General features: G+C 47.8%; 1 protein-coding gene across 13 annotated transcripts in view, besides 1 other annotated feature; it reads left to right on the top strand.

The window, feature by feature from the left end:
* HIPK2 (homeodomain interacting protein kinase 2) overlaps positions 1-14361 on the top strand; it is a 216429-nt gene that overhangs the window by 138486 nt on the left and 63582 nt on the right. For all 13 annotated transcript variants that reach the window (XM_047420265.1, NM_001113239.3, XM_047420260.1 and 10 more), the window contains 4 exons: positions 7788-7911; positions 8229-8348; positions 10474-10560; positions 12728-12912. In XM_047420265.1, coding sequence (XP_047276221.1) covers positions 7788-7911; positions 8229-8348; positions 10474-10560; positions 12728-12912 — 516 coding nt within the window. The remainder of the gene's footprint in view (positions 1-7787; positions 7912-8228; positions 8349-10473; positions 10561-12727; positions 12913-14361) is intronic.
* Positions 12914-13124: a silencer, noted in NCBI's record as "fragment chr7:139311135-139311345 (GRCh37/hg19 assembly coordinates)". NCBI's record gives its function as "represses an EF-1alpha promoter that drives an FKBP-Casp9 reporter gene in an ReSE screen in K562 erythroleukemia cells {active_cell/tissue: K562}" and the evidence as "EXISTENCE:reporter gene assay evidence [ECO:0000049][PMID:32094911]".

The raw sequence follows: 14361 nt of genomic DNA, 5'->3' as shown, positions 1-14361 counted from the left end.
CCTTGGCTAGACGGTGAACTCCTGGAAGAGCTGCAGGGTCTGGTTTACTTTTTGATCTTTAGCACCCAGCACAGTACCTGGCACAGAGGAAACACTTAGTAAATGGTGGTTGAATATTCTAATAAGTGAGTGAGGACAGCTTGAAACAAATTCTGGCTCAGAATGACTGTCAGAATGAGCTTCCCTGAAGATTAAGCATGCTTTAGCAACCATCCAACATGCTTCAGGTGGGCTGGATGAAAAGAAACATTTTAGACTTGACTTTGAACTTCTAGGACCTCAGAGCCTTATAGACTAGCAGAGCAGGGGGACAAGGCCTCTGCAAGATCAGATCCCAGCAAAATGGTCTGAAGTCCCCAAAGATTCCTGGGGGCCAAATGGGGAACTACCTCCCTTACCTGAGGGTTTATGGGCTGGGTGTTGAGCAGCTGTTTACGAAGCAGCTTCTGTGTGCCAGGCTGAGGATCAAGGACAAGTGAGATGCAGACCCTGCCCTCCAGGAGGTATAGTAGAGGCAGATATGCAAACGTATTTGTGTGTCAAAAATGACAATTATTGGCTGGGCGTGGTGGCTCACGCCTGTAATCCAGCACTTTGGGAGGCCGAGGCGGGCGGATCACGAGGTCAGGAGATCGAGACCATCCTAGCTAACATGGTGAAACCGCGTCTTTACTAAAAATACGAAAAATTAGCCGGGCATGGTGGTGGGCGCCTGTAGTCCCAACTACTCAGGAGGCTGAGGCAGGAGAATGGCGTGAACCCGGGAGGTGGAGCTGGCAGTGAGCCAAGATCGCGCCACTGCACTCCAGCCTGGGCAACAGAGTGAGACTCTGTCTCAAAAAAAAAAAAAAAAAAAGACAATTATTTACTCTCTTTCTCCAGAACAAGAATGTTTAGTGGCTTGCTTTGGGAATGTTGGAAAGGAATGAGTCCTCTTTCTTAGGTGCAGATTTTGTCTGACACTTCATATATATGTTTAAAGTATTTCTGATGTCCCAAAATAGCGATGAGGAAATTCTTTAAGATGGTTCTGTGGGGCCAGTGGGTGCTCAGTTAGTATTTATTGGACCAATCTGGTCTGAGTATGTCATTGATCTTTGTATGCTTGTCACCTGGTAGAGCCAGCACAGAGACAGTGGGCAGTGTCTGTTTGAATAAGGAAGAATGGAAGCGGGCAGGGAGGGGAGCAGGCTGTATCTGAAACATGTCTCATGAGTGCAGAGAAAAGGCTGCACCCTTAGGGGTGGGAGAGGGATCCAGAGTGGATTGGAAAAGGTTAAAACCAAAGGCAAGAGAGCAGCAGGTGGCTGTAGTGAGGCCCAGATGGAAGAGCATGTGATTTCGCATGCTGCAGTGGGACTGCGCAGGATAAAGTCTTCAACATAAGAGCTAAGGTGGAGGCTCTAGAGGGCGTAATGACAATGGCCATAAAATAAGAGGTTTGGGCTAAATCCCTGAGGTCCCAAGTCCTAACCCTGCATGAGCCAGGTGCCACTTCTAGCCCTCCTGTTCCTCCTCCCTGTCATTTTTGCTGTAATTCTTTTGTTGGCCACCTGCAAGTAGGTGTCCTTGGCACTCCTGCTGTCTGCCCTGCTGTGGTGAGTGTGAGCCGGGTTGCTCGTGCCCCTCTCTGAGCCTCAGCTTCTGCTCCTCCTTGGGCTAAATCCTGCCCCCTCATGCCCAAACCTTGATTGCTGCATAATGATTCAGCCCTTCTACTCTCTTTTATCTGCACTGCCTTAGAGCTTTGTCTTAATCCATATTTTAACACTTTCTTATATTTAATAAAGGTTTATTTGATCAACAAATGCTTAATGAGTGGCTACCGAATGCCTGCGCTGCCCTCATAGACTTGGTCAGGGAAGACAGACAGTGAGCAGGTTAAGAAAGTGCTGTGAAGTGGCATTTATGGCACCCTATATGAAGACTAACTGGTGTCAAGGGAGGCCTGTCTGTAGCGTGACAGCTGAGCTAAGATTTGAGGGATGAGAAGGAGGCAGCCATGTGACAGCCAGCAGGGAGAGCATTTAAGGCAGAAGCAACAGCATCCCACGAAGACTCTGGCTCCAAAGGAGCTCCAGGTACTCTTGCAAATGGAAAGGAAACCAACGGGCCTGCAACGTATTAAGCTAGGAGAGTGGTTGGCAGTGATGGTGGAGAGGTGGGCAGGGTCCCAATCGTGGAGGCCCCATGGCCATGGAGGGGTCTAGATTTCATTCCAAGTCCAGTGGGGAGCCCCTGAAGGCTTACGGCAAGGGGGTGGGGTGCCATCTGTTCCCTGTGGCTGCCATGGAGGAAGTGGGCACAAGGAAGGGAGAGACAAGTGGAAAGGCTGCAGTGGAAGCTCCAGGTGACGCAGGGGTGACCAGCGCCACTGCTGCGGCAGGGGGGATGGAGAATCAGGGGCTGACTTGAGACTTTGGAGCTGGCCATGTTAGTGGATAGATGGTGGGGATGAAGAAATCAAACATCTTTCCTGGATTTCTGCCTAAGCAGCTGGAGGGTGGTGGTTCCCTTTCATAAAATGAGGAGGACAGTGGAAGGAATATGTTTAGAGAGGGGGATCAGAGAATAGTTCCCTTCTAGACGTGTGGAATTGGAGATGACTATGAGACATTCCAGAGGCAATACCAGGCTTCCAGAATGCAAATCTAGAGCCAGAAGGAGAATTCCAAGATGGAGACAAACCTGGGAATACAAATGGAATTTAAACCTATGGAGCGAGTAAGATGACTGTCAGTTTCCTAGGGCTGCTGAAATAGGTACCACAAAATATCTGGCTTAAAACAAAAGACATCCAAAATCAAGGTGTCAACAGGGCCATGCTCCCTCTGAAGGCTCCAGGGGTAGAGCCTTCCTTGTCTCTTCCTGCCTCGGGTGGCTCCAGGTGTTCCTTGGCTTGTGGCAGCATCACTCCAATCTCTTCCTCCCTTTTCACATGACCATCTTGCTGCTGTGTCAGTATCTATGTCCAGATTTCCCTCTGATATGGATGCAAGTCACATTGGATTAGGGCCCACCTACTCCAGTGTGACCTCATCTTAGCTAATTATATCTGCAGCAACTCCATTCCTAAATAAAGTCACATGCCAAGGTGCCAGGAATTAGGAGTTCAACATAACTTTTAGGGGGACACAATTCAACCCATAACAATTATCTAGGGCTGGGTGGAAGGAGAGAAGACGGTGGGCTTAGGACTTGGCCAACACACAGCAGTTGGATAGAAGAGGGCGAGCCTACAAAGGAAATGGGCAAGCCACAAGCAGAGAGGCGGGACAGATATGGGGAGCAAGCGATGTCATGAAAACCAAGAATAAGTGTTTCAGGGCAGGAAGGAATGATCACCCGCGTGAAAAAAATGTGGCTCCCAGGTCACAGAGCTAAGAAGTTGATCAACAGATGTGACAGCGTGGAGATCACTGCTGATCTCAACAAGTGCAGCGCGTCAGTGACGCAGAGTGTCCAACTCCAATTAGAGGAAGCTGAGCAAATGCTGTGAGGTGAAGAGGTGGGAACCACAGGGGGAGATGACTCTCTCCAGAGAGTGGGCCTTGAAGGGGAGCTGAGAACTAGGGCAGCAGCTGCTGGGAGACGAAGGGATTAGGAAAGGTTTGTGTTTGGGGCTTTTGTTTTGTTTTTTGTGTTCTGTTTTGTTCTTGTGTTCTGCTTTGTTTTCTAACGTGGGAGCCGCTAGAGCATGTGGTGTGCTGTGTCGGCTCGATTTTTATGTCTGTGTCTTTCTGTGACACACGTTTTGTATTCGACTCGAGTTGTCCTGTGTGCTTTGATGTGGCTTTCGCAGCATCAGAGGCCTTCGCAGACAGTACTGTCTCCCAGCCACCTAGCCAGATGCCTGGGCATTTGTTCTTTACGGTCGCAGCAGGAACATTCTGCGGCACGTATCATGGTACCGTGAATGGCTGCCATTTCATTTTCTTGGTGGACTACAAGCAATTTTCCCAGGCCCCGTTCATGTCACGTCAGTCGTCAAAATCTATGTCTGGTGTTTCCTGCTAAAGAACATCACTAAAGTGCCTTTGTGTGGCCATTTTAGTTGTTGCAGTCTGCCTTGTTCATCACTGGGGAATGGAAACTGGAAAACGAGGTTTCCGTGGGTTAGGAACAGCCTTCCGGGCCATGAGAACCACGTAACTAACCTGATAGGAAGGGCAGGCCCATAGTCAAGTTCAGAGAAGTCCCCTGGGGCCAGACCGGCCTTCCTAAGACTTACTTGAGTGTCAAACATCCAAACCTACAGACTGGAGCGTCAGACTTCCAAACGTCAGGCTGCAAGAGGGCAGGGGCCAGCCAAGAGGCCAGGTGACAAGAATCGGGGGACAGAGGTGAGAATGTGCTTGATCCTTGAGCCAGCAGTCCAGGCCAAAACTCTCCTCCCATGAAGAGGCCTAGATCCACGTGAGAGGAGGCAGGAGGCCACCCCTGACTCTAGAACAGGGAGGGCAGAGAGAAAAGCAGGTTCTGACACCATAATACTTTTTTTGGTAGTGTTCTTTTCAGATATTCCCTTCTTTTCTGGCCAGGTATGGTGGCTCCTGCCTGTAATCCCAGCACTTTGGGAGGCTGAGGCAGGTGGATCACTTGAGATCAGGAGCTTGAGACCAGCCTGGCCAACATGGTGAAAACCCGCCTCTGCTAAAAATACAAAAATTAGCCAGACCTGGTGGTAGGTGCCTGTAATCCCAGCTACCTGGAAGGCTGAGGCACGAGAATCGCTTGAACCCAGGAGGTGGAGGTTGCAGTGAGCCAAGATCATGCCACTGCACTCCAGGCTGGGCAACAGAGCAAGACTCTGTCTCAAAAAAAAAAAAAAAAAAAAACCTGAAACAGATAGTCCCTTCTTTTTTCTAAGGGATGTGATGTTTTAAATAAACTGAAACGATCTCTAAAGGCACTGCTAGAGGCAACCTGGCAGTAATCTTATCAGTTACACACAATGATGAGTGAACCTGGGGGCCCTGGTATGTGGCCAACACTGACACAGGTGGCCTAGGCAGGTGGTGGGCTCGTGGTCACATGGAAGACAAGGGTGCAGCAGGGACATGTCTTGGAGCCACCACAGGCATCCCCAGCTCATCAGTGCCAGTGAGTAAGAGTGGCCCCTGACAATACATGCGCAGTCCAATGTGGGGACCAAAGGAGACAAAGGCCAAAGGGGGTGAAGTGCCAAGCAGAACACTGGCAGCTGAAGACGCCCAGCAGCAGGCGATGGGGACAACGGAAGGTTCATTAAATAGCAACAAGGCAACTCACTCCAGCCCCCAGCGGTCACTCCTTCTGCTGCCCAGACCGGCAAGTGTGACTGGTACTCTAGAAGCACGTAGTAGCCAGTACCCAGTCTCTAGTTGTGAGGAAAGGAATAAACTAAAATTTTTTTTTTTTTTTGAGACAGGGTCTTGCTCTGTTACCAGGCTGGAGTGCAATGGTGCAAATCATGGCTCATGGCACCCTCAAACTCCTGGGCTCAAGCAGTCCTCCCACTTCAGCCTCCTGAGTAGCTGGGACCACAGGTGCGCACCTCCATGCCTGGCTTTTTTTTTTTTTCTTTTTGCGACGGACTCTTACTCTGTCACCCAGGCTGGAGTACAATGGCACGATCCCGGCTCACTGCAGCCTCTGCCTCCTGGGTTCAAGCGATTCTCATGCCTCAGCCTCCTGAATAGCTGGGATTACAGACCTGCGCCACCACGCCTGGCTAATTTTTGTATTTTTAGTAGAGACAGGGTTTCACCATGTTGACCAGGCTGGTCTTGGACTCCTGACCTCAAGTGATCCTCCCACCTTGGCTTCCCAAAGTGCTGGGATTACAGGCCTGAACCACTGCGCCTAACCCCTTTTTTTTTTTTTAAGAAACAGGGTCTCACTCTGTTGCCCAGGCTGGTCTGAAACTCCTGGGCTCAAGTGATCCTCCCATCTCACCCTCCCAAAGTGCTGGGATTCCAGGCATGAGCCACCACACCTGGCCAAACTCCATTTTACTTGTGAAAAATCAGAACTTGGTAATAAGACATTTTTGGGTTTTGTTTGTTTTCTTCTTTTCAATACTATTATATAAAGAAAAAAGATTAGCAATGAGAACAAATTTAAAGGGGGAAGAGGAGGTACTTTTTCAGTAGAGAAAAATTCAGCTAGAAGATCCAAGACCAGTGGGGGTGTTTCTGATCGCCCTCTTCCTCCCCACTCTCATGCTAGGTGTGTGAAAGGTAACCAAGAGAAAGGTCTCCCCAGCTCCCTTCACTCCCACTCCAGGCTGCAGAAAGGGTAGGAAAGTAGCCTCTTCTACCATCTCTTAGTGAAGTGGAAAATTTATAGAGAAAACAAAAATCAGGCTAATGCATTTCATTATCAGCAGAATGCCTTGAGCTACTTTCTTTCTTTTTTTTTTTTTTTTTTTTTTTTGAGACAGGGTCTATTTCTGTCGTCCAGGCTGGAGTAGAGTGGTGCAATCTCAGCTCACTGCAACCTCCACCTCCCGGGTCCAAGCAATCCTCCCGCCTCAGCCTCCCAGGTAGCTGGGACTATAGGCACACACCACCGCACCCTGCTAATTTGGGTTTGTTTGTTTGTTTGTTTGTTTTTGGTAGAGACAGGGTTTTGCCATGTTGCCCAGGCTGCTCTTGAACTCCTGGGTTCAAGCAGTCCACCTGCCTCAGCTTCCCAAAGTGCTGGGATAACAGGCATGAGCCACCGTGCCTGGCCTTGAGACATATTTTTTTAAAAAAACATAAGCTGTGTTCATATCTCAAACTTTGAGCCTGGTTTTGTCCAAAACATACCCCTACCTAATCATGACAGATTCTTAGAAAAGAAGATGTACCTGGGTGGTCTCTTTAGTGTTGATTACCAACTCCCTGTGAAATGTTCTCTTGGGGTTTAGGTGATTTCCTTGAAGGGACAGAACTCCTGCATTCAGGAACAGGTTGTTCATGGAGTTTACGCTGGAATCCTGGTTGATACCAGACTCTGTATTCATGAATGGGGTTCTATAATTGTAATATTAGGTAACTTCTAAGAAGATTAGCTTTTTAGAAGCTAATAAAAAATAGCAATGTTTCCTTAAGAAAGTGTGATGTAAATTCTTAAGAAAGGATAATTGGCATAAACAGATATTGGACTTAATCCCGTTATTTTGGGAAGGGGACAGCTTGTTTTACATCTTCCTGAAGATAGAATACCTCGAGTTAGGTGTGGTTGTGCATTCCTATAGACCCAGCTACTCAGGAGGCTGAGGCAGAAGGATTGTTTGAGTTCAGAAGTTCAAGACTATAGCGAGCTATGATCATGCCTGTGAATAGCCACTGCACTCCAGCCTAGGCAACATAGTGAGTTCCCATCTCTAGATAGACAGAAGAAAATAGAAGACCTGCGTTTCAGAACTCCTTTGTAAAAACCAGGCATTCTCTGAAGATTAGTTTCCCAGACTTTCAGCTACAAAAGATAACTTCAGAATATCTCTAAAATGGTTGTTAGCTCATCTGATTGGCGTGTGAAGGTAATGAAGTCAGTAGACGTGGTTCTCTGTAGGTGTGTTCTAAACACACAGACTTATCCTTCATCTCAGCCAACCTTCCAAGTGGGCCCTCCACTAATGGAGGGGACCAAGCCAAAGAATGGAAGGATTGTTGTAGCACAGCGCCTCTCCTGAGAGCCACAGGCCCTTCAGAGGAGGAGTCAGTAATGGCACCCCAGGTTTGAAAGATAGTATTCATATAGAAACAGCTTCCTGCATTTCCAACTTGCTAATGGTTTCTTCCATTCTTCCTTTTCAGGGCCCCTGAGATCATCCTTGGTTTACCATTTTGTGAGGCAATTGACATGTGGTCCCTGGGCTGTGTTATTGCAGAATTGTTCCTGGGTTGGCCGTTATATCCAGGAGCTTCGGAGTATGATCAGGTGGGTCCAGATGACACAGATATTCACAAGACCTCATTCTTCATCTGGAAAATAGCCTGGATTAGCATTTCATTGATTACATGACAAATGGGCGGGACTGTGGAATGTCACGTTGTCTCCCAAACCTTGCTTCCCTTAACCTTGCTATTTTTTCTTTATTCCTTTCTCTTTTCCCTTTTTCTTTTTTCTCTTTTTTGTTAACTTCTTTCCCTACAAAAATTGTCATTTTCATTTTTCTCAAAGCCAGCAGAGCCATTAGTATACCATATGTATAGTGACAGGAAAAGCCCTGACCTCATTCTTATCTTTTCTTGCAGATTCGGTATATTTCACAAACACAGGGTTTGCCTGCTGAATATTTATTAAGCGCCGGGACAAAGACAACTAGGTTTTTCAACCGTGACACGGACTCACCATATCCTTTGTGGAGACTGAAGGTAGGAAGAGCGTCTCCTCCACTCCTCACAGTGGCCCAGCGCTTAGGGAAGAGGGCCGTAGACCCATTAGTGGGGAGCTTTTGATTCAGTCAGCAAAATGAGGGCACTGGGGGTGCTGTTGTTAATACATGGTATGGCTGAATCTGAATGCTCAGAAGCCCCTCTTTCCCTTGGCCTATCGCCGCCTGTGAGAGTCCAACCTTATGATTGCTGAACTCCCAGGATTTAATCCGATAAGCCTTGATGACTGTCTGATTTGTGCTAGGGAGAGAAACGAACCCCACTCTGCCCTTGAGAGCTGGCAGTCCAGAGGGAGACAGGACCATGTGCCACAAGCTCCCGCCCACTGTAGTAAGGGCCCTGTTCCTGGTCAAGAATGGGTGTGGGTGCCAAGAGGAAGGAGCATTTAATTCTGCCTGCAGCAGAGGGGCAAGGAGGAGCATTTGAACTGGGCCCTAAAGAATGAAGAGGGAGCGTGGTGGCTCACGCCTGTAATCCCAGCACTTCGGGAGGCTGAGGCGGGTGGATCACTTGAGGTCATGAATTCGAGACCAGCCTGGCCAACATGGTGAAACCCCGTCTCTACTAAAAGTATAAAAATTAGCTGGGCGTGGTGGCATGCTCCTGTAATCCCACCTACTCAGGAAGCTGAGGCACGTGAATCACTTGCACCTGGGAGGCGGAGGTTGCAGTGAGCTGAGATTGTGCCACTGCACTCCAGCCTGGGCGACAGAGTGAGACTGTGTCTCAAAAAAAGAAAAGGAAGAATGAAGCGGGTTTGCCCAGTATAGAAGTGTGGGGTGGCGGCTGGGGTGATGGGGGTTAGGGAGAGGGGTTCCAGGCAAAGGAGGCTGCCTGGTGAGCCCATGGGAATATCCTAAGGCCCAGGGAGGTGTCTGGTTCACACAAGTAACCATAAACCTGAAACTCCGGGGGCAGGGGCTTCACTTTAACAGAAACATAGTTTGCTTTCACTTTGATCTGTGCCTAGCAATTAAAATCAAAGTATTTTCCTGGTAAAAAGAAAATAATAAAGTCTTAAATATGTTTCATTTTAGGTATTTCTTTTTTTGCAGCAGGGTGGGTGGGTGTTTGTTTTGTTGTTGTTTTGGATTTGTTTTTTTAATGGAATCTGCAGCCAAATCCTAATATGGTTTAAAGATAATATATATCCAGTAGTCACAAAAGACTGAGAAAAGAGATTTGGGAACTGAGCAAGCACTCAGGCTATTGATGGGAGGCCTGGCATTTGGCAACTGTGAGGGTGAGTGTCAAGGTCAGGTCCAGTAAAAAGAGTCCTCCGGTGGAGGAGGGTGAGGCTGGAGTTTGCTGTTGTGTTTTATTGAAGAGCCTCAGTCCCACATGTCCAGCTGTTCCCAGGACTTAAGCCGCTCCAGGTGTGCTGTCCTTGAGTGAGATTTTGAAGACGAATTACCTCTGGATTACCTCATGGATGAGTACAGAAATCCATAGTAATTGGAAACAGCAGTATCTCCAGCCATTTGGGGAATGTAGGTCTGTGTCTCAGCCACCAATAGAGGGGCAGCCCAGCCACAAACTCTGGGGCCAGCTGCCACCTATTGGCCATGTGACCATGGCAAGTGCCTGGAGCTTTCTCTTCCTGTTTCCCCATCTGGAAAATGGGGATAGTAACTGTGCTACCTAATGTGGTTGTCAAAACTATTAAATGAATAAATGTGCTTTAGAACAATGTCTGGCACGTAGCAAGAGCTATGTGCATAAGGGTTTATTAAATAAAATTGGAAAATGCATGGGAAAGCCCTTTGCTTTTCCACAATGGAATCTTGCCTTATTCCTTAGACTCAGAGAAGGCTGTAAGCTGATCGAGGATGTGGCATACCTTGATCAGCCTGTGGTATGGAGCAAGACTGCTCCATACCTGACCCGGAGCCAGCCCCTGACACGTGTGCATAGGAAGGAGGAGGGATGGGTTGGTGTGGATGAAGAGAGAAGGGAATTGCAGGTGTGCAGGTCATTGAAGAATCAAAATCTCTTCCGAAATGTGGGAAAGAGACCCTCTGTGAGACACAGGAGTTCCAAGGCTTGAGTCCCAGTGATGAGGAGCTAAGTCACGCTACCAATTGGCTTTTGCCTCTCTTGACAGACACCAGATGACCATGAAGCAGAGACAGGGATTAAGTCAAAAGAAGCAAGAAAGTACATTTTCAACTGTTTAGATGATATGGCCCAGGTAAGCTTCATGGGTGAGTATGCAACGTAAGCCCTTTAAAACCAAGGGCAGCAAGACTTCTGCAATAGTAATAGAAGATAATGGGTTGAAATCCACATTATTCAACTGCAGTGGTTGACCTTGACCTTAAATAGTTACAGCCAGTCTTAGTAAGAATACCATTTGGTGTGTGAAACATTTTTAAAACTTCATACCAGCTCCTTTAAAATCGTTCCAGTTGGCCAGGCATGGTGGCTCATGCCTGTAATCCTAGCACTTTGGGAGGCCAAGGCGAGTGGATGACCTTAGGTCAGGAGTTCAAGACCAGCCTGGCCAACATGGCGAAACCCCGTCTCTACTAAAAATACAAAAATTAGCTGGGCATGATGGTGAGCACCTGTAATCTCAGCTACTCGGGAGGCTGAGGCAGGAGAATCACTTGAACCCAGGAGGCAGTGAGCCGAGATCACACCACTGCACTCCAGCCTGGACAACAAGATCAAAACTCCATCTCAAAAAAAACAAAAAAACAATCATTCCAGTGTATTGGTTCCCAGTTGTAATATAGTACTGGCCTATCTGCCTGATGTTATCATGAGAAGAATTCCAGCCCATTAGTACCCATGGGTTTAATGCCCATAATTTAGTGTGTATGTTTCCTGGGGCAGCCGTTAGAAGGTGCCATGAACTGGATGGCTTAGGACAACAGACTTTCATTCCCCCACAGTTCTGGAGGCCAGAAATTGGAAGTTGGGCTTCAGCAGGCCCATGTTCACTGTAAAGGCCATAGGGGAAGAGCATCCGTGTCTGTCTCCCAGCTTCTGGCAGCTCTGGCAATCCTCAGCGTTCTTTGACTTGTAGCTGCATCCCTCTAATCTCTGCTTCCTTCTTCACATGGCTTTTGTCCTGTGTCTCCTCTGTGCCTCTGTGTCCACATCTCCCTTGCCTTGTCACTGGGCCCACCCTAATCGAGTATGACCTCATCTTAACTCAATTTGATTACATCTGCAAAGACCCTATTTCCAAATAAGGTCACATTCACACCAACTGGGGACTGGGACTTTAATATATCTTTTAGAGGGATACAATTCAATCTGCTACACAGTCTCAGCTCACTGGCAGGGACCGCAGGCTCTCACCTTTGTGCCCCAGAGAAAATTCTAGAACTTCAGCTATTTTTAGTGTGAAAATTAGTCTGAAACCAGGGCAACCCAAAGTGAGTTTTCTCTTTAAAGCAATGAGAAACAAAGCTATACACCAGTAAACACTTAGCACCCCTCTTACTGTAGATGACTATAACCAAAAATCATGATTCTGAGTAAAGTGTGCTTGTCAGTTGATTAGCAGCTTAGATTGTCTGAGAAAACTGAAATTGGTTTCCAGACCATGTCCTGGAAAATACAGAAATCACCACAAAACAAGCCTTTTAAAGTCGATCCTAGTATAGACTCACCCTTGGAAGAAAAATCCTGTGTTCAGATATCCTGCCTGTCTTGGCCAGAGGTGACTCCATTGAACACAGGGACTAAAATAATTCTGGCCCTAACTGGGGAACCCATGAGAAGGATGATATGCTGTAGGTGGAGGACGGGCACACTCAGGCCCTTCCACTTCCCTCTAAAGGTTAAATACATGCATACATACATACATACATACATACATACATACATACATAGACTTTTTTGTATCTTATTTGTACTGCTTGGCCGTGACTCTTTTTTAAAAATTGTGGCAAACACACACATAGCATAAAATTTATCATCTTAGCCTTTGTTAAGGGTACAGTTCAATAGTATTAACACTCCCATTGTTATGCAACCAGTCTCCAGAACTCTTTTCATCTTGTGGTTATTTTTAATGAGGAGTGATGAAAGCTGCATTTCAACTTAACTGATGAAAGCAGGAGCAGTTTACATCCTGTCATTCAGATATATTTGCAGGTCCCAGCAGCAGCCCTCTCCCCTTCCTGGGGCACAGCCCCTCTCTGCCTTTCCTGCAGAGAGAAAAGCCACATCCTGTGGGCAATGACAACATGTGGGTGGTGCCTCCCATAGGGGCAGAGTTCCTGGGAACTGAGAAAGGGGGCTTGAGAGATCAGGAGGAAGTTACAGGGCAAAAAATAAGGGGAGCCAGGAGAGGGGAGGCACGCTGGGGTCTTCCTTGGTAACCTGTCCTTACTTGCGTCCAGGTGAACATGACGACAGATTTGGAAGGGAGCGACATGTTGGTAGAAAAGGCTGACCGGCGGGAGTTCATTGACCTGTTGAAGAAGATGCTGACCATTGATGCTGACAAGAGAATCACTCCAATCGAAACCCTGAACCATCCCTTTGTCACCATGACACACTTACTCGATTTTCCCCACAGCACACAGTAGGTGTCCTGCCTGATGCTTCGTACCAGGGATCGGCAAACTTTAAAGGCCCAGACACTAAATATTTTAGGTTTTGCGGCCATAAGGTCTTGGTAACAACTACTCAGCTGTCACTGTAGCTGAAAGCAGCCACAGATGCAATACATAAACAGATGAGTGAGGCTGCATTCTAATGAAACATTTATGAAAGTGGGCAGGGCTGGGCGTGGTGTCTCATGCCTGTAATCCTAGCACTTTGGGAGGCCCAGGCAGGTGGATCACCTGAGGTCAGGAGTTCGAGACCAGCCTGGCCAATATGGTGAAACCCTGTCTCTACTAAAAATACAAAAATCAGCTGGGTGTGGTGGGGCGCACCTGTAATCCCAGCTATTTGGGAGGCTGAAGCAGGAGAATTGCTTGAACCTGGGAAGCAGAGGTTGCAGTGAGCCGAGATCGCGCCATTGCACTCCAGCCTGGGCGACAGAGCGAGACTCCATCTCAAAAAAAAAAAAAGGAAAGAAAAAAAGAAAGAAAGTGGGCAGTGGCTGGACTGGGTCCCTGGCCTGCAGTTGGCTTCACACTGAAAAGGAGGGAAGAGGAGAGCACAGAGCTGGATGAACCTGACTCTGGGTATCTGTGCAGGAAGAGAGGTGCCCGAAACGGTAGTCTCTGTAGCGCAAAACTAGTCTCAGGGCCAAAGATTGCTCCCAGAACCTTCCCAGAGTGGACCCAGTCTAGTTTGGGTTTGGATTTGTTCATTCATTTCTTCAGCGTGCTGTGTGCCGGGGTACAGTGGTGAGCAGAGCAGACGGCCCTGCCCACTGGAGCTTGCAGTCCGTAAGAGAGAGAATGGTATAAAACAAGTGATGCCCAAATCACCAGGCTGCTATGAGGACAAGTATCAGGTGTGATGAGAGCATACCCACAGGGGAGCCTCATTTTGGGGCAAACCAGGAAGACTCCCAGGAAGTGGCCTGTGAAGGATGAGGAAGAGGATGGGCATGAGCAGGCAGGGCATTGCCTGTATGGACAGGACACTCCCCCATGGGCAGGACCATGCACCCATCCCAGAAGGCAGTAGGTGAGACAGTGAGGCATCCAGTCAGCCAGGGCAGGCCGTACATGTTAAGGTTTTTAATCTTGATCCAAAAAGCAATGGGAACTCATTAAATGATTCTTCAGCAAGGGAATAGCTGGTTAGATCTGTGTTGAGCAAAGATCTGTCTGCTGCCACACAAGTCAAATGAGTCTGGAAAAAAATGTCCATTCGGTTTAACAACTCACAAGTTGTCAGTAACGCAGTGGCAGCCATTCAGTGGAGTGGTAAAAGCAGAAACCAGTTTACCAGGTTGAAAGACCAAGTGAGAGGTGAAGAAATAGCAACCTTTCATGAAGTGAGGCTATGCAAGAGAAGAAATAGAGGGGTGACTGGGGAGGGGTCAAGGGGATTGTTTTTAAGACAGGGTTCA

The sequence above is a fragment of the Homo sapiens genome, chromosome 7 (genome assembly GCF_000001405.40).
Source record: "Homo sapiens chromosome 7, GRCh38.p14 Primary Assembly".
Lineage (NCBI taxonomy): Eukaryota > Metazoa > Chordata > Mammalia > Primates > Hominidae > Homo > Homo sapiens.
Note: the sequence above shows the minus strand (reverse complement) of the source record. Positions and strands in the feature narration are given on the sequence as shown.